General features: G+C 40.5%; 1 protein-coding gene and 1 long non-coding RNA gene across 10 annotated transcripts in view, besides 5 other annotated features; one reads left to right on the forward strand and one right to left on the reverse strand.

Annotated features, from left to right (window-relative positions):
- The window catches only part of COPS8-DT (COPS8 divergent transcript), a 175,051-nt gene extending 164,633 nt beyond the window's left edge, over positions 1–10,418 (reverse strand). For all 8 annotated transcript variants that reach the window (NR_187934.1, NR_187938.1, NR_187936.1 and 5 more), the window contains exon 1: positions 8,753–10,418. This is a non-coding gene — a long non-coding RNA (COPS8 divergent transcript). The remainder of the gene's footprint in view (positions 1–8,752) is intronic.
- Positions 227–796: an enhancer, noted in NCBI's record as "H3K27ac-H3K4me1 hESC enhancer chr2:237984273-237984842 (GRCh37/hg19 assembly coordinates)". NCBI's record gives its function as "activates a minimal SCP1, AML or CMV promoter by ChIP-STARR-seq in naive H9 embryonic stem cells {active_cell/tissue: H9 hESC(naive)}" and the evidence as "EXISTENCE:reporter gene assay evidence [ECO:0000049][PMID:30033119]".
- Positions 9,532–10,426: an enhancer, noted in NCBI's record as "H3K27ac hESC enhancer chr2:237993578-237994472 (GRCh37/hg19 assembly coordinates)". NCBI's record gives its function as "activates a minimal SCP1, AML or CMV promoter by ChIP-STARR-seq in primed H9 embryonic stem cells {active_cell/tissue: H9 hESC(primed)}" and the evidence as "EXISTENCE:reporter gene assay evidence [ECO:0000049][PMID:30033119]".
- Positions 9,532–11,321: a biological region, named in NCBI's record as "H3K27ac hESC enhancers GRCh37_chr2:237993578-237994472 and GRCh37_chr2:237994473-237995367".
- Positions 10,067–10,616: an enhancer, noted in NCBI's record as "active region_17365". NCBI's record gives its function as "activates an Ori minimal core promoter by ATAC-STARR-seq in GM12878 lymphoblastoid cells {active_cell/tissue: GM12878}" and the evidence as "EXISTENCE:reporter gene assay evidence [ECO:0000049][PMID:35858748]".
- Positions 10,427–11,321: an enhancer, noted in NCBI's record as "H3K27ac hESC enhancer chr2:237994473-237995367 (GRCh37/hg19 assembly coordinates)". NCBI's record gives its function as "activates a minimal SCP1, AML or CMV promoter by ChIP-STARR-seq in naive and primed H9 embryonic stem cells {active_cell/tissue: H9 hESC(naive and primed)}" and the evidence as "EXISTENCE:reporter gene assay evidence [ECO:0000049][PMID:30033119]".
- Positions 10,486–25,071, forward strand: COPS8 (COP9 signalosome subunit 8). Of its 2 annotated transcripts, NM_198189.3 has the most exons (9): positions 10,486–10,639; positions 11,329–11,393; positions 11,724–11,794; positions 13,202–13,250; positions 14,459–14,591; positions 18,687–18,794; positions 20,419–20,481; positions 21,419–21,466; positions 22,260–25,071. In NM_198189.3, coding segments are annotated over exons 3-9 (483 nt in total). In that variant the 5' UTR covers positions 10,486–10,639; positions 11,329–11,393; positions 11,724–11,792; the 3' UTR covers positions 22,340–25,071. The 2 variants fall into 2 exon arrangements, with proteins under 2 accessions (NP_937832.1, NP_006701.1); NM_006710.5 differs by lacking the exon at positions 11,329–11,393.
- The last annotated feature ends 2,086 nt before the right edge of the window (positions 25,072–27,157 follow it).

The following is a 27,157-nucleotide window of genomic DNA, read 5'->3' on the forward strand; positions in this document are numbered from 1 at the left end:
ATTTTTAGCTGTAGCTTATTTCCTCTTTTTAATAACTTCCTCAGGATAACTTCCCAGAGCCAGAACACTAAGTCCAAGGCTAAGTCTGTTTCATTGCCCTCATTGTGTATTGTTACCTGGCTTTCCAAACGGGTAGCATCTACTGCCACTGGGGATGACATTGCCAAGAGATCCATTGGAAAATTCGCTGGTCATGGACATCAATGTCCAATGGCAATGGTCCAATGGCAGCATCCCCCAAACTCCAGTTCCTCCAGAGGACAACTCATCAGAATTAGTAATCTCCTCTAGTCTGCTGAATGTTCAATGCCTCAGGAATAATAATAATAATAAATGCATCCCATTCTTTCCCTATCTGTTCTCACCCCAGTGACCCCTGCTCCAAGAGGCAGCCACTCATGCTGTGGGGCAGGGTTGGTTTCCACCCTAAGCAGAAAGCCCAGGACTCCTGGCCACAAGGAGGGCTGGCTCAGGGCTGGCCTATTTCTGCAGCTGCTTTCCAGCAACTCTGACACAGACCCTTTTTGGCAGAGCCATCGTCATCGCCTGGGGCCCATCTTCTAGCCTCAGGTCCTGCGGCCTCCAGCCAGGTGAACCATCTGGAAATCTTTCTCACTGATATCCATGAACTCTCCACCTCTTGCCTGCCTGCCTGGCTGGACTCTAAACCTGATACACTTCATGGCTGCAAATGATCTGTGTTTACTTTTCTTCTTGTGGGTTTGGCAGGGGCTAATGTCACATTCCTCTCTTCTGTAGGTGACCTTCCTGCCTGGGGCTTCCGGGGCTTGGTGACACATGCCCTGCAGCACAGAGGCCACTCTACCATCACTGGGGCCCCAACCACACAGTCACCAGACTAGGTGCGCTGAGTGTCTTCCATTTGTCCCTCCCATCCACTCTCCATGCTCTCCTCCCCATTATGCCTCAGAAGGCCAGCCGTATAAGCAACTGCTGCAGACTTCCTGCCCTCGGCTTCCGGCTGGGCTCAGCCAATGGGGATCCCCCGCAGGAGGTCAGAGGGAGAGATGGTAGGAAGGTCCTCTGAGTATTGATTCCTCACTCCCTCACTGCCTGGCTGGCCCTTCAGTGAAAGATCAGAGTCCCAGCCAAGCAGTCTTTGCTGGGCTCTACTAAATATTCCCTCCAATTGTCTTACAAAAATTCACCCACTGAAAGCTTCCAATTGTACAAACATCACCACAATAGAAGTTTAAAATATTTTCATCACTTTAGGAGGCTGAGGTGGGCGGATTGCCTGAGCTCAGGAGTTACAGATCAGCCTGGGCAACATCGTGAAACCCTGTCTCTACTAAAAATACAAAAAATTAGCCAGGCATGGTGGTGCATGCCTATAATCCCAGCTACTTGGGAGGCTGAGCCACGAGAATCACTTGAACCAGGGAGGTGGAGGTTGCAGTGAGCTGAGATAGTGCCACTGCACTCCAGCCTGGGCAACAGAGTGAGACTGTAAAACAATAATAATATTTTCATCACCCCAAAAAGAAACCCCAGATCCATTAGCAGTAATTTCCTATTTCCCCCAAACATCCCAGCCCATGGCAACCACCAATCTGCTTCTCTCTATGGACTTGCTATCCTGGACACTTCATGTAAATAAAATCATACAATACGGGCTTTGTGCATCTATCTTCTTTCACTTAATATATGTTTTCAAGATTTAACAATATTGTAGAATGTATCAGCACAGCATTACTCATTACGGGTGAATAATATTTTGTTGCATCGATATACCACATTTTATTTATTCAATCGCCAGTTGATGAACATTTGGTTTTTTTCTTCTTGTTGGCTATTATGAATTAAGCTTGCTATGAACATTCACTTACAAGCATTTGTGGGGATATACGTTTTCCTTTCTCTTGGAATGAAAGTGGAATATACCTACAGAATACACCTACGAGTGGACATATGGCAACTCTATGAAAACTTCTGAGGAGTTACCAGACTGTTTTCCAAAGCAGCACCATGGTATAGTCCTTCAGCAGGGCATAAGGGCTCTAGTTTCTCCAAATCCTCACCAACACTTGCTGCTGCCTTTTTATTATAACCACCCAAGTAGGTGTGAAGTGCTATCACACTGTGATTTTGATTTGCATTTGCCTGATGACTAATGACGTAGAACATCTTTTCACGTGTGTTTTGAACATCTGTCTTCTTTGGAGAGACATCTGAGCAAATCCTTACTCCATCTTAACATCAGGTTATTTGCCTTTTTATTTTTGAGTTTTAAGAATTATCAATATATTTTAAATTCAAGTCTTTTATCTGGCATGTGACTTGTAAAAATATTCTTCAATTCTTGGTTCTTTTCACTTTTTGATGGTGTCTTTCGAAGAACAAAAGTTTAATTATGATAATGTCCAATTTATCGATTTTTTTCTTTTGTTCCTTGTGCTTTTGGTGTCATATCTAAGAAATCAGTGCCCAATGCCTGGACATAAAGATTTATCCTATTTTTTTCTATAGTTTTAGCTCTCACACTTACGTCTTAGATCTATTTTGAGTTAATTTTTGTAGGTGGTCTGAGATAGAGGTCCAACTTCATTTTTCTGCATGTAGCTATACAGTTGTTCAACCATCATTTGTTGAGAAGACTGTTCTTTCCCCCACTGAATGGTCTTGATACCCTGGTTGAAAATCAATTGACTATCAATGCAAGGGCTCATTTCTGCATCCTCAATTCTATTTAATTGATCTTTATGTCTACTCTTATTATCCATTTACCGAAATGTCTATCTAATGTTTATTATTGTAGCTTAACAGTAGGTTTTGATATCAGAAAGTATGAATCCTCATAGTTCTTTGTTTTCAAGACTGTTTTGGGGTATTCTGCATTCCTTAAGTTTGTATATGAATTTTAGGATCAGCTTGTGAATTTTAGTATTGCAATCATAATATAAAGTCTCCCAATCCATGAACAAGGGATGTCTTCCATTTACCTAGGTCTTTAATTTTCTTCAACATTGTTGAGTAGTTTTCAGAGTTTAAGTTTTACACTTCTTTTATTATATTTATTTCTAAGTATTTTATTCTTTTTCATACTATTACAGGTGATATGGTTTGGCTGTGTTCCCCACCCAAATCTCATCTTCAGTTGTAGTTCCCATTATCCCCATGTGTCATGGGAGGGACCTGGGGGGAGGTAACTGAATCATGGGGGCAGTTACCTCCATGCTGTTCTTGTGATAGTGAGTGAGTTCTCAAGGTATCTGATGGTTTTTCTTTTGCTGTTGTTTTATTTGTTTGTTTTTTGAGGAGTCTCACTCTGTTGCCCAGGCTGGAGTGCACTGCAACCTCTGCCTCGCGGGTTCAAGTGATTCTGGTGCCTCAGCCTCCCGAGTAGCTGGGAATACGGGCGTGTGCCACCACGCCCAGCTAATTTTTTTTGTATTTTTAGTAGAGACAGGGGTTTCGCCATGTTGGCCAGGATTTTCTCGAACTCCTGACCTCAGGTGATCTGCCGGCCTCAGCCTCCCAAAGTGCTGGGATTACAGGTGTGAGCCACTGTGCCCAGCCATCTGATGGTTTTAGAGGCAGTTTTCCCTGCTCTTGCTCTTGCTGTCTCTTTCCCGCTGCCGTGTGAAGGTCTGCGCTTCCTTTTCACCTTCCACCATGATTGTAAGTTTCCTGAGGTCTCCCAGGTGTGCAGAACTAAGTCATTTAAACCTCTTTATAAATTACCCAGTTTTGGGTAGTTCTTTATATTAATAGTAGTGTGAGAATGGACTAATATAACAGGTGAAATTGTTTTCTTAATTTCATATTTGGCTTATTCATTGCTAATATACAGAAATAAAATTGATATTTGCATGTTGATTTTGTATCCTGCAACCTCGCTGGACCCAATACTATGTCAATCAAGGAAAATGACCAAAGCAAGTCTCAATCATTTTAAGGAGGTGTATTTGCCAAAGTTAAGGGTGTGCCTGGGAGACATGTCTATGCCTTTTTCGAGAGATGATTTTGAGAGCTTCAATGTTTAAAGGGGAAAGTGTGGGATATTGAGAAATGCACAATTTTCATGTTGCGGGGGAGGAAAAGAGTCATTCGTGTCTTTGGCTCTGTGAATATGCATTTTTACTTAAGATAACACAGAGGATAGGGGAGAGGAAAAAATCAGATATGCATTTGTTTCAGGTGGGCAGAGGGATCGCTTTGAGTTATGCCCTATGTCCCCGCACCTGTGAAGATAAGCTATTAATTTACATTGCCATGGTGAACTTTAACATAAATGCTTTAGGGTAAAGATCTTGGGGCCCACAGGGGAGGTGTGTAGCTTTTCACGTGTGTAGCCATCTTATTTAGGAACCAAAATGGGAGGCAGGCTTGCATGACCCACTTCCCAGCCTGACTTTTCCCTTTGGCTTAGTAAGTTTAGGATACCAAGATTTATTTTCCTTTCACAATTAGTTCTACCTGTTTTTTTTTCTTTTTTGATGAATTTCTTATATACAAGATCATGTCATCTTTAATAGATATAGCTTTACTACTTCCTTTCCAATTTGGATGCTTTCCATTTATTTTTCTTCCCTAATTGCACTGGATAGAACCTGTAGTACACTGTTAAATAAAAATGGCAAAAGCTGACATTCTTGTCTTCCTCCTGATCATAGAGAAAAGCCATCAGTCATTGACCATTAAATGTAATGTTAACTGCAGGTTTTATATAGGTGTCTTTTGTCAGTTTGAAGACGTTCCCTTCTCTCCCTAGTTCAGTAAGTGTTTTTATTATAAAAGGAGGTTGGATTTTGTTTTATATATGTATTCTGCATCTATTGAGATGAACGTGTGTTTTGATCCATTATTCTGTTGATATGGCTTATTACACTGATTGGTTTTTGGATGCCAGAGCCATTACTCTGGCACATGGCAGGAATGGTAGCCTCTGATCTTCTCAGCTTTTCTACTGGACACAGAATATATGTTTACCCCAGAAAGCAAGCTGGAGTGAGGGCAATTAGGACCCCTGTATTCCAGACCTGTTATGCCTAGTGTATAGTCTCCATCCATGAGTGGGAGCTTGGTGGAGGAAGGGAGCCTCCTGCCTCTTGGCCACAGTTAGCTAGAATTTAGCGTTAAACTTGGAGTTGGAGTGGATGAGAAATGCTTGCAACCTTCGCCTTCTTGTGAGACACCTTATCCCTTGTTTGATAGAGGAAGGGAGAGTGAGCCCCATCTTCTTGACCACATCCACCCACAGTGGAGCTTCTATGAAGCTGAGCTAGGTGCGGGGCTGGAAAGAGCAGATTATGGCTCAAATGCCACACACTCTCTCTGTTCTTACCAAGTTGTGATAGATTTTATTGAATAAATTTTTTTTTCATTTTTTATATACCTTTAAGATAATTTCCAGAAACTTTTAAGTTTTCTTAGAAATTTTCTCCAGCTATGGTTGTTTCAGTGGGAAGTGTCTCCACAGAAGTGGAACTCCCCTTCGTGCACTTTTTAAACTCTAGGGGTGGTAATGATGTCAACTATTGTGAGCCCTGGGGTACTATCCTTTGTAGTTTTCCAGTATCTTGCCAATACCTTTGTAAATAGCCATTTTATTAAATTTTCCTCAAATTGCCCAATCTGAGATATGGTTTGGCTCTGTGTCCCCACCCAAATCTCATCTCGAATTGTAATCCCCATGTGTCAAGGGAGGGAGGTGATTGGATCACGGGGGCAGTTCCTCCCATGCTGTTCTCATGATAGTGAGTTCTTATGAGATCTGACGGTTTCGGGGTTTTTCTGTGTGTGTGTGTGTTTGTTTTTGAGATGGAGTCTCACTCTGTTGCCCAGGCTGGAGTGCAGTGGTGCGATCTTGGCTCACTGCAACCTCCACCTCCCAGGTTCCAGGGATTCTCCTGCCTCAGCCTCCTGAGTAGCTGGGACTACAGGTGTGTGCCACCACACCCAGCCAATTTTGTATTTTTTTGGATTTCATCATGTTAGCCAGGATGGTCTCGATCTCCTGACCTCATGATCCGCCCACCTTGGCCTCCCAAAGTGCTGGGATTACAGGCGTGAGCCACCGCGCCCGGCCGAGATCTGACGGTTTTATAAGTGTTTGAGAATTCCTCCTTTGCTCTTCTCTCACCTGCCTCCATGTAAGATGTACCTGATTCCCCTTCTGCCATGATTGTAAGTTTCCTGAGGCCTCCTCAGCCATGTTGAACTGTGAGTCAATCAAACGTCTTTCCTTTATAAATTACCCAGTCTTGGGTATTTCTTTACAGCAGTGTGAAAACAGATGAATACACTGAGTATTCCATATGTTTCCTGCTACAATCCAGACCGACACAATGGGAGTGTTGTGGGCACAGAGGTGACCCGGGCTCATCATCCGTTCTCCTCTCCCACTCTTTCTCCCACACTGGCCGACTCATCCACATCCCAGAGCTTCAAGAGCAGGTTCATGGGCCAAAGAGCCCCAGGAAGGGAGATGGGCCACTTGATGAATGCTTGCTGTGGTTTCTTCACGACATGAATCAGACAGATCATGTGGTCCTAGACCCAGCCATGGAAACTGTGATCCCGAAGCAAATGGGCAACCAGTGTGAAACTGGCGGGAGCACACCTGAGGCCCTTGTGACATCACTTCTTCAGGGACCTTATTCATAATAAATGACTCTATAGTTCCCAGGAGCAAATGGAGAAGAAGACTTTGAAAGGGCAGAAAATAGGACCAAAAAACGTCAAATTTCAGAGTTTTGAATTAGCCATTGTGCTAGTCCATTTTTGCGTTACTATAAAGAAATACTTGAGACTGGGTAATTTATGGAGAAAACAGGTCTATTTTGGCTCATGATTCTGTTGGCTGTACAGGAGGCATAGTGCCGGCTTCTGCTTCTGGGAAACCTCAGTAAATTTCCAATTATGGTAGAAGGTGAAGGGGGAGCAGGCATGCCACATGGCAAGACAGGGAACAAGACAGAGGGAGGAGATATCGTGCTCTTTTAAACAACCAGATATCACGTGAACTGCTAGAGTGAAAACTCACTCATCACCAAGTGGATGGCATTAAGCCATTCGTGAAAGATCCATCTCCATGATCCAATCACCTCCCATGAGGTCCTCCTCCAACACTGGGGATCACATTTCAACACGAGATTTGGAGGGGACAAACATCCAAACTGCATCAGCCATCCTAGTACAATTTCCAACCTCCTCAATCACTGTGCTTCTCCCAGAGAAGAGTTATGGGACAAGGGCCAGTTTGCACAAGGAGAAGACCAGGTGTGGTAATGGGTCTGAGACCCCCATCCTATAGCCTCCGGAGTGCATGATTCCCTTCAGCACGCTGACCCCATCCCTCGTTGCAAGAGCAGAGAGAAACGCAGTCCTTCCCACTCCAAAGCCAGCATCTCCAGGAACAGAGGGTCCTTGTGGGTGCCTCTCATTGACTTTCTTGCTTCTTCCCAGTCTCGATCCCTCTTCTGAGTCGCACCTCCGGAGATGACAGCCTTTTACACCACACTGCTCTTTCCTGTCCCCCTTCACTTCTCTCATTTACTATCAAAAGTCTGGGGGGAAAGGTGGCTCCAGCACAGTACAGTGACAACTTAAAACTGAATGTCAACCATCACAGCCCTGAAGACGCTTCAGTGCTTCACTGCCACTTGGAGTTCCCAGTGTCCAGGCCAGGGTCTCACCTTAGACCCCAACTGCTCCCAGAGACTCCTCTCTGCCCCCCAAGGACTCTCCTCCTACCCTCTCTGGCATCCAGGCTCCAACTCCCAAATTCCTGTACTGGCCTTCCAAAGAACAGCTTAGTCCTTTAAGTGACACCCCATCTCCACCTCTAACCTGTGATATGTATCAAAAGCCTCACCGGGATTTCCTATTCAGCAAACAGCCACCTTTGTAGGTTTCCACCTCTTAGAGGCCCAAAGCACCTGCCAAAGCGTTCACATTATAGTTTTCCCTTTAAATGATCAAATAGCCAAGCAGGGCTTCTATTGAATATTTCTTTGCCCGAAAAGGGTTAGAGACCATTATTACAAGCTTCAAAATCCTGCTCCTCATAGTTCTGTCAAGTGATCTTAGAATCATACTGCCCTCAGTCCTTCTCTTCCTTGCAGCCGTGGATGAAACTCTGTTGCTTTATTACTCCAAGATCTCTCTAGTTCTGCTAACTACTTATGTGCCCTTCTATTTAATGTTGGCAGTTCCTTGAGGAACACACAAGTGTTTTTTTTTTTCTTTACATTTCATTCAGGGAATTACTAAACAATCATTTCCACACAGAGATGTTGTGGATTACGCCAAAAAAAAAAAAAAAATCAAGGATGGCTGTCTCTGTCTTGAAATGCTTAATAATTTTATCTGTAAACTTGTGGTTTGTAAGTGAGGTCCATTAAGACAATGGAGCATGAGCCAGGGAAACGGGCCTCTACGTGTGGCCACTGATGTTCCATACAGCATTCATAATGCACCATGCACACTGAATTCCCTGTGGACCCCTGATGTTGCGAGGCCAGCAAGACTCAAAGTGAGCACAAGGTACTCGTGCTGTATCTACAACTGAGGGAGCTGGGTGCTGACACCCCAAAAGGCCGCACTTTTCCCCTTAAGAGAGTAAACTTGTTTCGAAGGCAGAAAGAAGGCAATGGTGTCTTAAGAAGCATGAAGAAACCATATTGTATGAGTCATGGTTCTCTAGAGGGACAGAACTAATAGGATATATATATTTATATATATATATATAGAGAGAGAGAGAGGAGTTTATTAAGTATTAACTCACATGATCACAAGTCCCACAATGGGCAGTCTTCAAGCTGAGGAACAAGGAGAGCCAGTCCAAGTCCCAAACTGAAGAACTTGGAGTCTGATGTTCGAGGGCAGGAAGCATCCAGCGTGGGAGAAAGATGTAGGCTGGCAGGCTAGGCCAGTCTCTCTTTTCGCATTTTTCTGTCTGCTTTACATTTCTAGCTGCACTGGCATCTGATTAGATGGTGTCCATCTAGATTAACAGTGGGTCGAACTTTCCCAGCCCACTGACTCAAATGTTAATCTCCTTTGGCAACACCCTCACAGACACACCCAGGATCAATACTTTGCATCCTTCAATCCAATCAAGTTGACAGTCAGTATTAACCATCACTCATATCATATATTTTCTTATTCATGCACTTCTTTATATTAGACACCTGATCATGCCAAAAGGCCAGTCCATAGTTCTTTTGCTTTTCAGTCCTTCCTTACGCATCGGTGAGTCCCAGGTCGAGAGTAGAGGTAGAATTCGTGCACGTAAAGTGCGATGAAAACGGGCAAGTTCACTTTGTGCAGCATCTGTTTTTACCAGCGTGGTTCTGGTAAAAACAAAATCTATATGCATGTATAAGCTATGAAGTACAAATTGCATAATTTCTGTGATTCCACATATGAGATCAGTGCACTTATATTAGTATTTAAAACTGGCATTGCACAACGTAAAGATGGATGGTGAACTTCATGCTAACAATTTAAATCTAAATTTTTCTTGGAATGATATTAAATAACACATAAAAACACTATGAAAAGAGAGAAACTGAGAGGAAAGAGAAAGTTTTATATTTTATGACCTCAGAGGCACTTTCTTTCTGTTTTTTGAACAAGGAAGCTCCGCACTTTTCTCTGAGCTCCACAAATTATGCAGCCAGCCTTGCAGCAGGCAACACATCAAAGCCTCTTTCCTGGGGGTCTAGTGAGGGATGTAAAACACAAATATGTTAATAATATACAATATAATGTCACTAACAGTAAGTGCTGTGCTAAACAAAAGCCAGGATGGCTACAGCAAGCCGGAGGGGAGCTGAGAATTAGATGTAAATTCTGAGGGATGGGAAGGGCCCTAGATTTTAGGGCGTTGTGCAGAAGAGTAACCAGATCTGCTCTACGTTTCAGGAAAGGAAAAAAAAATTCCCTCTGGCTGCGGTTCCGAGAATAGCCTGGAAGGAGGCAGGGGTCCCGGCTGGAGAAGCGTGGCTCCGGGGTGGGGCGTGCAGGGCTAGCCCGGGCGGGGGACGCTGCCCAACAAGCAGGTTTGCGGAGACTCACACCTTAGATTCTGAGTTTTTAAGCTTGTTTCCTCAGAGCAGGGAACTCACGAACGTTTCGTGAGCACCTACGGTATGCAGGGTACGGTGCGGAGCCCTAGCGTCACTGACGACCGGGACAGCCGAGCAGCTGCAGGATCCGTCGTGTTCCCCAGCAATTTTAATATTTAAAAATTCGTTACTGTTGCTGTTACTTGTTTTCTATGTATTGGATGTCTTCGTGAAGAACCCTCAAAAGTGCAACGAACTCCTCCCTGCCAGAGGGCGGCCGCGCGCTCTGAGTACAGCTTCCCGCGGAGCCGGCCAGGTCCTCCAGGGCACCGAGAAAGCCGGCCAGAACGGCGGCGCCCTATCCCGGCCGCAGCGATGTCTGACGGCGCCCCGGAACTGACGGTCTGGTACGCAGGGGCGCTCGGCGGCAACGGCGGCTTTAAACGTCATCGCGGGCGCGACGCCTGAGGGACAGTCTGGGGTTTGGCTGTCCGGACGGTGCAGCGGCGAGGCCGGCCGCGAAGATGCCAGTGGCGGTGATGGCGGAAAGCGCCTTTAGTTTCAAAAAGTTGCTGGATCAGTGCGAGAACCAGGAGCTCGAGGTAACCCTTTGCGTCGCGCTGGGAGAAACTGCGGAGTAGTCTTAGGCCCTGGGGCGGCACCAGTTTCCAGGGTAACGGGGTCTGAGGCTAGCGGGCTTTGGGAGCTCACGGGGCGGGCGTGGGAGGTGGACGTGTGGATCCCTGACCGCCGCAACCTGCTCCGACCGGGCCCGGTCTCCCCGAACTCGCCGGGACCTTTTTGTTATGTGTCTTCAGCTTGTGAGCCCGAAAACCCTGTGCGTCTTTGCTCCAGCACCTACCGATGAGCTCATATTAATTAGGCATCTTTCCTTCCCAGTATCGGGTTGGGAGAGGGTAGTAAAGTGGGTTTTATTAAAGATCTTGGTATACACACACACACTAACACACACACCGCAACTCACACGCACACCAAGAAAAATGTGACCATTGTAACCTTTTTTTAACTCACAAAGCCTTTCTCGTAATGTTGTCAAGTTAGCTTGCCATTTTGTCTTCAGTAAGACAGATGAAAGTTATGCAGCTGTTAAAGTTAATGTTTTTCTTAGACACTTAAAAAGGGTTTATATCATTAGTTTTAAAATTAAATAAAGGAGACAACATCCAGAAGCAGCAGCTCACTAATAGATAATAGATACTTTCCAGTTGAGTTAAAATGGAAAGAATTGTCTTTGCAACGCAGCTGTGGTGATTTTCTGTCTCTTATTCAGGACGCTTGATGTAATGGGCAGAATCAGAATGCTTCAGGAATCTGTCGAATTTGTTTCTTATAATAGTAAGATCATTTAAATGGGAATTTGAGAACTGGGGAAGGGGATCCACTTACATATTCTTGAATGTATAAAGAAACTGAAGCCCAAAGGGAGATAAATCAAAGCTGATGACGAATATAAACTTAATACTCAGAATTTTCGTGTTTGATACTTCTCTAAGCTGTTTCTAAATCTATAATAGGACTATAAGATTACTTATAGTCTTAGACTAAAAAGGCTTACTTTTAAAATTAGCATTTATAAAATATTATTTTAAAAATGAAAGTTAAAGGGTAAATGAGGTTTTTAAAATTTTGTGTTGTTTTGTTTTGTTTTCATTTTTGGCCTTCTAGGCCCCTGGAGGAATTGCTACACCCCCAGTGTATGGTCAGCTTCTAGCTTTATATTTGCTCCATAATGACATGTAAGTATGTTTAACCTAAAGCTAAGAGCAACAGGTTTCTCAAAGTTATATGGAAATATTTCTGCACTGAAGTAGCACCACTAAACATAGGCACAACGAGCTACCTTTTTTATTACAGTAATTGTTAACGTCTATTTCCTATTGAATCATAGGTTAATGAATTATGATTAGGTCGTCATTGTCTTACATATACTTTCTAGAAAACATTTCAATTTATTATGACAAATTACGTCAGTAAATTCATTTAACCTTTTTGTCTTTTTAAGAAACTTTTATGACCTCTATTTACTTAACTTCATATATAATCAATAAAACAAAAGAAGTGAAAAGAGAAGATTGCAGCCAAGAGGAATTCGTTACAAACATGTATGAGATTTTTTAAGTTTTTTTTGTTTTTAATTATTCCTATTTCACGTTCACATGGAAAAGTCAGAAAGCATAACTACTCTAGGCCGGGCGCCGTGGCACACGCCTGTAATCCCAGCACTCTGGGAGGCCAAGGCAAGTGGATGGCTTGAGTCCAGGAGTTTTGATACCAGCCTGGGGAATATAGTGAAACCCCGTCTGTCCTAAAAATACAAAAAATTAGCTGGGCATGGTTGCGTGTGCCTCTAATCCCAGCTACCTGGGAGGCTGAGGTGGGGAGAATCACCTGAGCCCAGAAAGTCAAGGCTGCAGTGAGCTAAGATTGCGCGACTGCACTCTAGCCTGAGCAACCAAAGTGAGACCCTGTCTCAAAAGGAAAGCATAACTGCAAAAAAAAAAAAAAAAAGTCTCCTATAGTTCTGTGACTCACTGATGATTCCTGATAACATTTTATTTTAAACTCTTCCAAAACCTTTCTTTTATATCTTTTTAAAAACTAAATTGAAATTTTTATTACACATATGTAAGGTTTTTGTTTTTGTTTTGTAAAACTGTCATTATATGTTTGTTGTAGTTCAAGCCTCCAAACCCATAAAAACTCCTGCCTCAGAAGCTGTGTCCCACTGGTAGGAGGGGCTGTAATCGGGAGAGAAGTGTTGTGTACCAGGCTTATTGTCAGGGAATGCTACAGCCTTGATAGTACATAAATTTGTTTACTTTTATATCCTAATAAATAATTTGGGCCGTCTATAAATCCTCGTGTTTTTAGTGTGCTGTTGCCTAAATTTAGGATATGGATTATTATTTTTAAAAAATTCACTAGAAATGGCAAAATATTACTTTGGTAAAAATATTTCATGTCCTTTTTATCTGGAAAACCACTATTGTTTCCCCAAAACAAATTCATATAAAACTAAATTTTACTTTGTGTTATGTGAAGTATACTTCTGTATGTTTGGCTTGGGACCTGGTAGTTTTTAACATTTCCTGAGATGATTATGTTTTTAATTGATTATTCTTCTTTGTGGTGGCGTAAATTAGGAATAATGCAAGATATCTTTGGAAAAGAATACCACCTGCTATAAAATCTGTAAGTATCCTTTAAACCTATTTTACTGCTTTAATGTAATGACATTCCCTTAAATGGCAACCTTTTATAAGCTTATGTTTTCTATCTGACGTCCTAGTAATAGTCATCAGATTGGTATTAAGGATTCGAAATAAATCTTCAGAGTCCTCTAATCAGAAATTTGAATTTTGCTGGGATGGTGTAGAATTTCTGCTCAGTTCCTACTGATTAGATTTCTTGAGACGCTTTTATGTGCAGCTTCCCTAGTTAAACAGCTGAGCCAGTTTAGATGAAGGAAGCTCCTGGAGGTGGCGGAGGCAGCTGAGGTGATTTTCAGCTGGTTTATGTTGCTTCCTATAATGGTACTTATTTTGAAACTGCCATCGTTTACAAGAATACTCTAAGAATGATTGACAGCAATAAGATTATTTTTGTTAATTAGGATTTTAAATTTCTTATTTTGGTTGGGAGATTAGAAGAAATAGCCTGTGAAAAGGTTCTTCCAAAGTGGAATGAAGTAAAATTTTAATGTCAAATGATTCCATGTGTCTAACATGAGTGTCAAGTGAAATTTTTAACATTCTCGGGATATTACCAAGAATTCATCTAAACTTTTGTTTATTGATATTCATCAAGAGATCGGATTAGTATTTTTACTCTTTTTTTTTCCCTCATACATTCTGTTCTGTTAAGTAAGATTGGAATATTCCTCAGCTTCTTTGGCTAAATAAAGAAGTACTATAAATCATGCACATAAGTTTCAATGGCGTTAGTGGAAACTCAATCCTTAGAGAGGCTACAATGTATGACATCTTAGATTGAGAGTCTCTATTGTTAACCATTTTGCTATTACTTTTGACCTAAATATATATTCATAATATATCTATGAAATACAAATACAACATCTTTAAAAACAATCCTTAAGCTAATTAGTCCCCAGGCTTAATTCTGAAATGTTTTTTGACTACTTTCTCATGCCTTAATTTGCTATTGTAATAAATTTATATCAGCCCTACAGATAAATTTTACCTTACTGCTCATAGTGTTTAAAAACCTTTTGATAGTGATTGGGCTGAAAAAGTAATTGCATCTTTTAAAATAAATGTTGAATTAGGTTTTAATGATGTAGCTAACAAGTTTTTATATCATTTCTGGTATTTTGTTTTAAGATACAATCATTGGTGCATTTACAGAGTGAATACCCTCTAAGGCAATAATATTTATTGCAGGCAAATTCTGAACTTGGGGGAATTTGGTCAGTAGGACAAAGAATCTGGCAGAGAGATTTCCCTGGGATCTATACAACCATCAACGCTCACCAGTGGTCTGAGACGGTCCAGCCAATTATGGAAGCACTTAGAGGTAGTGTTTCTTTGTGGTTAAAAATGAAATTAGATGAGACTTAGTCCCTAAGTGCTGCAGTGTTGAAGTAATAAATCAGTGGTGTGTGTTTAAGTAGATATTTTTGATAGGTGAAAAGAGCAGTTTTCAGAATTTTTTAGATTTGCCCTAATCATGCTTCTTCATTTTTTGTTGCTTGAGATTACATTGGCTGCTGTGCTTTTGTTGTTTCTTAATTCTAGACAGAAATTGCTCGTCAGTTTTAAGAGTTTTTTTTGCTATTAAAACGAGATCTTGTAATATTCTAATAAGTTTAAGGTATGGGTTTGTAGAGATGTGAAAATAGAGACTGCTCTTTGAATTTTGTCAGCCTCAGCCTTTGATAGGTGTTGTCTTAAGCTTCTGGATTTTATAATTTATCAGTTTAATACATAGATGCTCAAATGTGTTTTTAATTGCTTTGAAAGATTACAAGCCTGGTGTGACAGAGCACTGATCCCACAATAAAATCTCATTCCCTGCCTCTCTACAGTCTCTCACCCCTAGCATTTGCTTCCAGTCCTCCTGGTTCACTCTTTATAAAATTATATAATCTTGTTTTATGTTGTCATGTACTGTTATTTCTTATTGTTACCCTTACTTCCATAGTTAATATCCACCTTCACTGTATGCCTTCCTGCTGTGGAGGAAGTCAGTGAGCAGGAATTTTTTTAATAACTGTTCATCACTCTGCTAAGGGATATCAGCTTTACAGGGCAGCAGACAGCAGAGATTGTTTCTGAAATGCACATAATTCCCTTGGAATGGTAAAATTCTTAGCAGCATAAAACATAACAATGTAAGTGACAGAACAGGAGGCAGCTACTTTAAATGTGAATGAAATGAGCAGAGTCCTAAGGCAGGCAGATAGATGGGAAGGGAGGAGTGTGGAAGAAGATTGCACAGGTACAGCAGGGGCAGTTTCAGAAAGTAGCACCAGAAACCTCTTCATATAAGCCCTGAGGAATTAGCGTTATAGTGGACTTCCATAGTATCCTCGTGATTCAGCCTTGTGATTGTGGTGGGGCGGTCACAGGCCATGTGCCTTTTCCCAGTGTTTTACAGCGGGTTGATTGGCAGGACTGGGCTTGGGAACTCCTTACTCGTTCAGCAAGCATTCTCTTGTGCACCGTCGGGTCCGTAGTTTTATTCCTTCCCGGAGCCGCCTCTCACTGAATTCCATGAGATTGAGAATTCCTGGCAAGCAGTTCAGTAGACCCAGGAAAGGCTATATAGCGTACCATGCGGGAGTTTAAGCTCTGGGTCCTTGCTTCCGGAGTTCAAATTCTGATTCTGTCACTTACTAGGGTGACTCCTCAGTGTCTTATTTTCCTCATTTGTGAAATGTGATTAGAAATAGTACTTTTTCAGGTTGTAAATGAGTTAATATATAAACATGTACCTTATTCTAAAGCACTACAGTATTCCTGAACATATCCTGAGACTTTTACAAATCTCCAGATTCATGAATGGTACTGTGGTTTCCTTTGTAAAATGCAGCCAGGTCAGGATAGTCTCTTAACAGATTGGTCTTACTGATGAATTTAACATTTTGCTTCTTAACTTATTAGAAACTTATTTTCTAGTTGAGAACAATCACTTTCTTAGATCTCTTTCCATTCTCTTCTAAATTAGGCACAGTCCTATTAGAAAACTGAAAATGACTTAAGAGAAGCTAGTGAAAACTATTTTTGCAGGAAACAAGGGCTGAGGAAGTACTTAGAAACTAGGTAGACAGTAGCCATTCTCATCTGAGGCTTGAAAGGGCAAGGCGAGGGGCCAGTGTTACTGGGGCTGCCCCACAGGATGGATACAGAAGGTCAGCTGGAGCAAGGCAGGGAAAGGGCATAGGAAGTGAATTCCCTGACCTTCCTTCCCAGCCTCTGACCTGATAGAGCCCCAATTCGCCAAAGCAAGAGAGCTCAGGTGCAACAGGCATTGGCGGCCAACCTCCCTGGCACACAGCATGGCTGGGAAAGACAGAAGAGGATTCGAAAGGATGGGAGTGACTAGTTCATCTTCCCTTCTGTCTCCAGCACTGGCAGTGATGGATGAGCAGCACTTGAGTATTTGTTGAACAACTGAGTTTGCATTCTGTTAGCATTTGTTTTCACCAAAAATGTGTTCCATCAACTACTGCCACAGATATTAGGTGCTGGCTCAATTTATTCCACCTTCCAGCGTGTCATTCTAGGGCCTGAGGTTACAGATTTCACAACTTGAGGATCACAGAGTGACTAGTCGGAATGTAGATGTGATTCGTGCCAAGTGGATATTGCAGCTTCTGAGACAGAGAACACTTAGCCTTTATTTTTGCTTTGTCAACTCACTTCTCCCATCACATGTTTTTCTTTCCTTTTCCAGTGATATCTTTTTACTTTTCTCTCCCTTTTATCTCCTCCATTCTTACTGTATTCCTGTTTTATTCCCCACTCTGAAAATATGGCCAGAATATTTGAACTGAAGTAAATGTTTTTGAAATACAGTTGACTTACCAAATGAATATAGTTTTATGGTGTATACTTTTACTTCTCTAAAAAAAAAAAGTATACTTTCCATTGTTGGCTCTTTTCCATTGTTGGCTCAGTTCTTTTCCATTGAATGTATGCAGCCTTAATAGAAAACGTTTCTTGGTATTGCAAAGTCTGTTAGGTTACAGGCTGGTTGAAGGAAGGAAGGAACCTACAATAATAAGTGTAAAGCCACAGAAGGAAGAGCAGACAGTGGCTGAGTGAAAGCTGGAGAGGATGTCGGGCTCAGATGAGGGGAAGGGATGGGAGTGTCGGCAGTTTTTAAGGAATCTGAGAAAACAAAGCCTAAGTGTTGGAGTCGTGCCCCATTTTGGTCCTCGTGATGCCATCAACAAGCATGTATTTGGCATATATTTCACTGGAGATGCTAGGTGTTTGGGGGACTTTGAGGATAAGAGATACCCCTTCCTGTCGAGAAGTTTGGAATATAATTGAAAAGAAGGGGATAGGTGGAACAGTGTCTGCCGTAGTGGAAAGTTGCTTGTTAAAGTAGAAGTGTAAACAATACTGCTGAGTTTAGAGAAGGGCAGAGATCGTAATGAATTATAAACAGACTTAGGAATGGTAGAGAGCAGACAGGAGGGCATTTCAGGCCACGGGATAGCATAAACCAAAAGCCCCAGGGGGAGAAGGTGTAAGACTTGTCTGAGAGCCAGTGGACTCGTTTGGCACAAAGGGTATCTGGGGGAATTGGTGTAGTTTGACAATGTCCCAGGAATGGAGAGAAGATTTTAAATATGTTAGGGTGTTTGTTTTACATATGTACACTGGCCTATTAAATATGGAAAGTAAAATCCAGAATATTTCCTAAGCATGTTGACCACCAGGTGGAGGAGCTCTTGCATTACCAATGAGCAATGCCCAGGGAGAAAGGCCAGCTGGTTTCACAGTGCTCAACTCTACCGTACTCCTGAGTTTATTTAATTGGGTATGGAAGCCTGGGGACAATCCTAAATGCCACTTTCAGGAAAGTTTTCGTTGCTGGTATTGTTTGGCAGTCCCTTCTTAGAGTCATTCTTTCAAGGTGGGAATTTAGGATTTTGAACCTTAATTCAGTCAAGAGTTTGATGCAGACTTGGAAGAATGCTCCAGTTACAAGATTTGTTCTGTAACTCCCAGGTGTGGTCCTGTATTAGAGACGTTTTTGAAAAGGACAGCTGATTACGCAAATCAGTTTTCTGCTCCTTTGATTCCAGCATTTGTAAATGAAATAAGATAAGTAAAATTTATATCCCCATTGCATAAACATACTGCATTTTCTTAGGGTTAGAGCCTTGTGTTTAGTAACCTTTTTCCATCTTTGTAATTTTCATTATCTGAGATTTTTCATCCAAGAGGAAGTGTAAGAAATGTATTTTTTTCCAGCAATATTTGAACCCCCCGTACATACTGGGCATATGTATTTGTATCTATAAGCACAGAAATCTTTGGGTTCATCTGGCCTTGCTTATGAAAACTAGACAAGGACAGTGGTGTGATTTAACAATGTGCTTTGAAAATGCTGCTCCCTGGTTCACTCTCTGCCAACCCACCACTCCCACAATAGATGCAACAAGGAGACGCGCCTTTGCCCTGGTCTCTCAAGCGTATACTTCAATCATCGCCGATGATTTTGCAGCCTTTGTTGGACTTCCTGTAGAAGAGGCTGTGAAAGGTAATTTTGGCTTACTTTTTACTTATAAGGAAAATGGAAAATAGAAGTGTGAATTGTAGGTTCACAGTCTCCTCTGAAACACTTGGAACAGAATATGCTTTTGGAGTCCAGGCTGTGTTTTTTGAGAGGTGATATGAAACAGGTGTTGTGGAACACCCAGCAGGCACCCTGCAGTCAAGCATATTAATAGTTCTATAGCAAGCAAATGTGTGAGTATCCACACAGTTGGTTACAAAAATATGTCTTAATTGGTCTCTTTACTCATATTTGGAAATCCTTATTTCACCCTTATTTGATAAAGGCAGCATCATCCCCACGTCCCTTTTCATTTTCCCTGCCATTTCTGACCCATACCCTAGGCGCTTGCTTGCTCCCCACTCATACCTGCTGGTCTCTCCAAATGTAACTTTGCATTTTCATTTCTCAGCTGATGCCCAGACTAATCCTTCCTGTTGCTCGTTGTTATAGAATACTGTATACACCTGGCCAGGTGCAGTGGCTCACACCTGTAATCCCAGCACTTTGGGAGGCCGAGGCGGGTGGATCATGATGAGGTCAGGAGTTCGAGACCAGCCTGGCCAACATGGTGAAAGCCCGTCTCTACTAAAAATACAAAAAATTAGCCAGGTGTGGTGGCAGGCACCTGTAATCCCAACTACTCAGGAGGCTGAGGCAGGAGAATCGCATGAATCCAGGAGGTGGAGGTTGCAGTGAGCTGAGACTGTGCCACTGCACTCTAGCCTGGGCAACACAGTGAGATTCCATATCAAAAATATATATATATATCGTATACACCTTGTTGCATTGTTTTGCCATGATTGACATTTTTGATTCTCCAGCTAAAATATGAGCACCATCACGCACTACATCCTAAATTTCCAGGGCCTAGCATAGTTGTAGATACATGAAGATAGGTTAATGAAAGTTCTAAGTTATTACTTTTATTTACTCATACAAACATTTATTTCTTTTGGCTCTTAAAATTGGTCCATCATTTATTTTCTATATATAACATACTTCAGAGCTCGTATTCTCAGCTGACCACCTGGATGTGAATGCTGGTACCACCCGTCCCTGATGCTAGTGGCTATGTGACTTAGGACAAATCACTTGAATTTCCCTCAACTTTATTTTCCATACCTGTCAAACGATGGCCCTATATCCCACTTCATAGAGTTGTGGTGATTACATAAAATCATCCCTATAAAAGCACGTAGTCTGGTACCTACAGGTAAACCTTCCATATATGGAAGCTGTTTTTATTATTGCCATCTTTGTTATTACTGATATGATGGTCACAAAAGGCGCCATATCAGTTTTCCTTCTGTTTGTTTTAAATAATACTGATTAGGTTAATACTATAATATATTCTTGACAGAAAACTAACCATCTTTTAATGATTATAGCAACCTAATAGAGTAAAATGAGGCTTTGATACCTGTTTCAGAAATATTTCAATAATAAGTTTCCATGCTCTTTGTAATATACCTTTCTAGTAAAAATGCATATGACGGGTTATACTAAACACATCAGGTCTTCTGTACAACTAATGTCATGGACAAGTTGTGGATTTTGTGGGGTGTTTTATTCTTTCCGGATCTTTATGTGTAATATACTTTTTTAGGCATATTAGAACAAGGATGGCAAGCTGATTCCACCACAAGAATGGTTCTGCCCAGAAAGCCAGGTAGGTGGAGCTTTCACCCATTTACGCAGCACTGGACTCTTCTAAGACTGCTTCAGGTTTTCAGTCTTTGGTTTTTGATAATTGGATGTAAAATTCGGCTATACTAACACAATGGAAATAACTCATTTTAAATAAAGCGTAGTAGACGGGGTAGAAAGGATCACCTAGTTTAAACTCTTAAAAATGTATTTCCTGTATATAAATGATTTTACGTAGGTTTTTCATGGTCCTTACACCTTAGTTTTTACTAAATATTAATCTCCATCCTTTTATGGAGCCATTTGTAACTGAGCTTATCCTTCATATCCAAGCTGTTGTCTGTATTAAAAAAAAATGTTTAAATATTCAACTGCCCCCCTTTTCTGTTTGCACTCAAGTCATACAGGCACTTTTCCTGTGGCTTCCACTTTCACAGAGTTAACTTCTCTAGCCCTCCTTTTAAGGCCTTAATTTCTATGACCTGCCCTCATTGTCTTTATCTGAATTCCCAGCCCCTCAGTCTTCCTGTTGGAAGTGAGCCACACTCATTCCCGCCTGATAGTTTCTCTTCCTCCTGCTGACCAGGAGTGTCTTTTCTGCCAGGTCTTTAGAGCCAAGCTTAATGCCCACTTCCATAAACCCGCCTTCATCCACGTCAGCCCAAATTTCCTTCCACCTACTCGGAATGCCTATGTTTAGACATTGCTGAACATACAGTAAAGGATTCTCAATGTGCTCAGCCCTTTGAGTTACAAAGAGTGAGAAGACATGATCCCAGTCAAGTGAGATAGTGGGGGAAGAGTAATATAATAAAGAATTATAATGGAGCACAGTTGTTATCCCTGTTTGAGAAATAAATGGCCGTTAAATGCATGTTGTGCTGAAAATAGCATGTTCTATGAAAGATCTTTACAATGACTTCTGTAAATTGAGCTGTACATTTTTTTTTTGAATTTAGTTGCAGGGGCCCTGGATGTTTCCTTTAACAAGTTTATTCCCTTATCAGGTATGTATTTTCATATGCACATTTTTTAATGTCTCATTGTTCCTAATTTCTTTTTTGTAGTATATATGTATATGTGTGTGTGAGTGTGTGTATCTATTTCTTACCTTGTAAACAGAGGTTAAATTTCATAAATGCGTAGTAATACATCTGGTTACAAGAGTGAAACTGGGCTCCCCCAGAGCTTGCCTTGAGGCGGTGCCCTCCTCTGGGCCAGCTGCAGAGCCTTCTTATTCTCATGTCAGGGAGGCCTGCCAGAGCTGTTCACCAGTACTGTTATTCAGAAGGCGTCCCCAGGCTGACGTGTAGTAATTTAAATGTTGGAATGTAAATTCCTTGAGGTTCTTTGTGGGTTTTCTTTTTTTTTTTTTTTTTTTTGGTTTGTTGACAATTTAATATTCTTCAGTGATGTCTGGGGCATGGGAAGCACTCTATTTCTTGAATTTAATGTTGCATGGGTAAGGATGTTTTCAAGAAGAGCTGTGATCTTTTAAAAGACATGTTGCATGATAAAAGTGTCTTTAACCTTTACATAGAATACTTCAGTAACAACAACATGAGACATGCCTTTACTAGCAGTTAGGTAAAACCATACTCATAAAAGTTGCAACTTCTTGGCTTGCTTTTCAAAAATGTCCAAGCCTCTATGATGTAAGATTTTGTCTAAAACCAGGACAAATCTAAGAAAGTTAACTTACTGTTAAAAATTGAAGGCATTAGGGGAGGTAGGTGTTGGGGCCAAAGCTTTGTTACTGTGGTATGTAACATGAAGTGTGTTTGTTTCTTTAACATACAGAGCCTGCTCCAGTTCCCCCAATACCCAATGAACAGCAGTTAGCCAGACTGACGGATTATGTGGCTTTCCTTGAAAACTGATTTATCACTCTGAGTTCAAGATTCATCTTCAGAATCCTGTATACTGACAAACGTAGAAATGTAAAGTTTGTATTTTCAATTTATTGGATGGCTTAAGCACCTCAGCATTCCTTACTATGTGATAAAATACATATAGAATATAAGATATACTATATACATTTTGTCCATAAACGTTATGCTGAATAGTTGTTGAAACAGTTCTCATTTTGTAGTATTTAATAATCTGGATGGAGCCTGTCAGTATTACAGTTAGTTTTCTAGTGACTCATAAAATAAGATTTCCTGTTTCATGTAGAATAGTGTTTGTCAACTGTCTTTTCTCTGTCCCAGCACATGCCGTACTCTTATATGTACCATTGGTTGATAATTATAATGATTCATTTGGACTTGAAGAAAGATTGTCCCCAGGCACAGTATCTGAATCACTGGGGATTATGATTCACCCTCTTTGGAGAACATGCTCTCTTTTCACCCCCCACCTCCTGAGAGCCACTAATGTAAGATACAGAAACATAGCTGAGGAACAAATAGACCATTTCCATACTAAACCAGTTTGTTAACTTTAGATTTTTTCCAATAGTGTGAGTATATCCATTGCTGGCAGTGGAGGGCTTGCCATGAAAATGCAACTTATTTAAGACATTTATGAGACATATTAACTTGTGCTGTCGCCTTTTAGAAGGAGAAACTTAAGTGTGGAATGCATTATATGGGCAAAGAAGCTATGAAGATACATGATACACTTTGTACAACTATCCTGCAGCCCATTGGTTGCTTATATTTATCGCTTGGCTCAAGTTCTGCCCTTTGGAGAAATACTGAGCAAGTCTTTCATTCTCTGTGTGACAGCCCTCTGAATATTTGAAGTTGTTTGTTGTAACTTAAGGTTATAACAGCCCTTAGTTCATTTACTCTGCATTTGTTCAATAAATATTTAACTGAATTCTTCAATTATTTCATCTAAGATAGTTTCTGGAAATTTCACTCTCGATCTTTCTGTGGACACAATCTATTTTGTCATTGTGTCTATATGAATCTCTTAAGTAGAAATGAGTTGTATGGTGAATCTGTGTAGTGATAATTATATAATTTATTTATTTTGAATGCATTTTAGTGGCTATTTCAGTTTTTCTTAACATATATGGGAATACTTTTTGAATTGCAATTTTATTTAACCCGGATAGGTAAGTCATATTAAAATTCCTTGTTTTACAGTTGAGGAAATGGGAATTCAAGAAGTCAGAGGATCAGGAGAGTGATCAAGAGAATGACAGTGCCAGTTTTTTTAACTTCCAGGTATTAAGTACAAATTGTATCCATGGTTATTTTTTAAAAGCAGATTAGAGTCAATCCAAATATTCATTAATAGGGGATTGTTTGAATAAACAGCAGTGTAGACTACGCAGGTGTAAAAGGAGTGAAGATCTCTATACTAAACTGGAATGATCTCCAGAGTGAGAACATAGAAAGCACATGTAGTTTATATGGTTATTTTGAGGGTAACAAAAGGAGAATGATTACAATTATATATATGTACATATTTCCTTATATTTCAAAACTAAGCAATTGGGGGATATATACAAAATGAATATAATAGTTCCCTAAAGAGGAAGGAGAGGACAGTGAACTACTACATAGAGAAAAAATAATCTCAAGTGATCAAACACAATATTTCAATTTTACATTGTCAGTGGGATATACACTAAGGACAGAAAAAAATCTTAGACTAATGAATGTGGTTTTTCATGATTAATTTCACAAAATCTTGATATCTTTTTTATTATTAAAAGTATAGATTAAATTAATAATCATGTAACATTAGACCCCAGTAATCTTAAATTTGACATGGAAACCTCATTATATGCTTTATTTTTCTTTGTAAACAGTAAATATTTCCCACTCCTGTCTACATGAAAAGGTCTAGAGTAATTACAGTTCAGTAACAATGAGCACCACTAGTACCCAGATGGTGTTCTTTCATTTTCATTTGCAATTAAAAGGAATCAGAACTTATTTGCAAAACAGCTAATAGTTCCAGGGCAGTAAGTGTACAAGTTCATATCTGGTACAAGATGTCCAGGATTCAAGGAGGCTCTTAAAGACTTGGGATTCTGTCAAAGGGTTATACAAGCCAACTTGAAGGGATTTCTACAGGCCATGTAAAAATGAGACAGTTTGAGCATGAAATATTTGTATATGTGTCTGTTTTTAACTCTTAATAACCTCATCACTGTACAAGAAAGGCAGGGTAAGTGCTTGATTTCACTTCCCTTTATTATCAGTTCTCAGGACAAATTGATATGCTGCCAATCTCTAAAGCAACAAAATCGAACCTGTAGGGTAGTCAAAAAGCTCATGCTGGAAAATTCCACCGAATAAAGATAAAAGTTAGAAAAACGGTACTTGCAGCCCTTAATGAAACAAAGAAGGGATCATGGAAATATATATCAATGCTGTTGAGACCACAGGGTAAGAAATTGAGATTGAGCATGAAATATGTCCAGTACATCCATCAGCCTGTCTTTGTGCTCTGGCTATTTCTGAGCCAGCCATCTGTGTACAAGTGTAGCCTGACAGCACCCTGTTTCAGATCCATTGGATATCTCTAAAATTTGCTCTGGGACTTACCCTGGCACTACTATCAGGATGCCCACACAAACCTGATTGGGCAGCCCATCAGCAGTTGTGAACATGACATGGTGAATAAACACTCTCTTCCTTGTCTCAGGGCAGACTATTTCCAATGTGTTCTATACCTAGATCCTCAAAAAGAACCCCCAAAAAATTGAGCTGTGGTGTCCCATGGTCATAAGCTCTCTAATGCAGCCTTCAATTGTTTTTTCCTCATTCCTTGTTTTACTTTTCCTGGTTCCCTGTCTCTTGTTCCCGGAGATCAATAGAAGTGATCTGTCTACATATCTTTACATACCTATGCTATTCTGCCTTGGGGCGGGGATCGGGGACCTAGTCAAATCAAAGGGAAGTGTGTAACACATGAATCAGACTGAAAGCACCTGAATTTAATTTTATATATATAAGTATATATATATATGTGTATATATATATATATATATATATAATACGTATATGCATATATATAGTATATAAATATATACATATATACATGTACATATATATATATTTAAAGGTTTAGATCTGCTACTTTACATAAAATGTGAGAATTAATGGAACAAGTTAAACATCCCACTAAGAAACAGCCAGTTCCAGAATGTGGGAAATTTAACAGGATTAGTGAGTTTGCTTGAAAAATAAATGACAAAAAGTCAGGGGGTGGTAGTAAGTATGAAAATGTCTGTTCCTGGGTTGAAGTACCTTGAGGCCAACTCAGAATTGTGTCAATAACTAATAGGTGAATACCCACATTTATCCCTTGAGAGGCATCAGCCCCTAAATCAATGAGGAATGTGGAGCTAAGATTTGAGAGTACTGCAATGAGGTCATCTGCAGCAGCTCTTTGCAGGGTCGGTGGCAGGTGTTTGCTGATTCCACAGGGCACAGCAAGATTCAAGCTTTGCCTGGTGAGGGGCCTGCTGCTGAATAACCTAACAACCTGTGGAATTTGGGCACTTTGAAAGGGCTGGGGTGATAACAATGGAGACTTGAGAGGGCTAAACCACACTGTTTACCCTTCAAAACATTTGGTGAACTTTTAAGCTGCCTAGGGTAGGAGACCAAAAAGCAAGTCAAAAACCTTTGAGAAACAGTTCCGTTTTCCTGGAGTTTTGCTATGTCAGCGCTCCATTAAACAAGGTTGTTGGGTGGGGGAAGGTGTTTGCTTATAAATATAAACCAGAAGTAGAATATTAGTAAAACTGCTCCTGGAAGACAGGTCAATATAAAATATTAAGCTGAAGTACAGAAATGAAACAGTGGAACTTAACTGGCAATTGTGTTGGAGACATGTGGTACACAGCATAGCGATCTACCATTTATCTAATTGGAATCCAAGGAAGAGCGAGAATATAGAGTGGAAAAATAGAAGTACCAGCCCAGAATTTTCTGAAAGTGATGAAAGAAATCAATCCACAGATTCAAAAAGCTCAGAAAACCCCCACAGAGGATAAATGCAAAGAAAACCACACCCAGACAACAGTAGTAAAACTACTGAAAACCAGAGACAAAGAGAATATATTAAAAGCACAGAGGGAGGACCCGGGGGGACATTATCTTCAAAGAAGTAGTGGTAAAGCCAGACAGTGAAATGGCATTTTTAACATGTTGAAAGAAAAATAAAATCCTAACTGCTATATACAAAAGATCCTCTTTTAATATTTCTGTGTTCTTACATTTAAAAGTTGGAAAAAGATATACCATTGCAAATACTAACCAAAAGAAAGTTGGTGCACCTTTGATAGTAAGAGTTGGCCCTCCATATCTGTGGGTTCTACATCTGTGATTCAATCAACTGTGGCTCAAAAATATTTGAAATTTTTCTAAAAAAATACAGCATAACAATTATACATTGCATTGTATTAGGTATTAAATCTAAAGTATACGAGAGAATGTGTATAGGTTATTTGCAAATACTATGTTATATAAAGGACTCTGATCTACAGATTTTGTATACTTGGCAGTCTTGAAGCCAAGTATATCCCCTGTGAATATCGAAGGGTGATTGTATTAGGCAAAGTAGACCTCAAGGCAAGAAGCATTATTAGAGATAGAAAGTAATTTTTAATGAAAAAGATTGCATATAGTTTCCTTCTGTAACAAATTACTGCAAACTTAATGGCTTAAAACAACACAGATGTATTATCTTACAGTTCTGCAGTCCACAAATCTGAAATGGGTCTCACT

The sequence above is a fragment of the Homo sapiens genome, chromosome 2, assembly GCF_000001405.40.
Source record: "Homo sapiens chromosome 2, GRCh38.p14 Primary Assembly".
Taxonomy (NCBI): domain Eukaryota; kingdom Metazoa; phylum Chordata; class Mammalia; order Primates; family Hominidae; genus Homo; species Homo sapiens.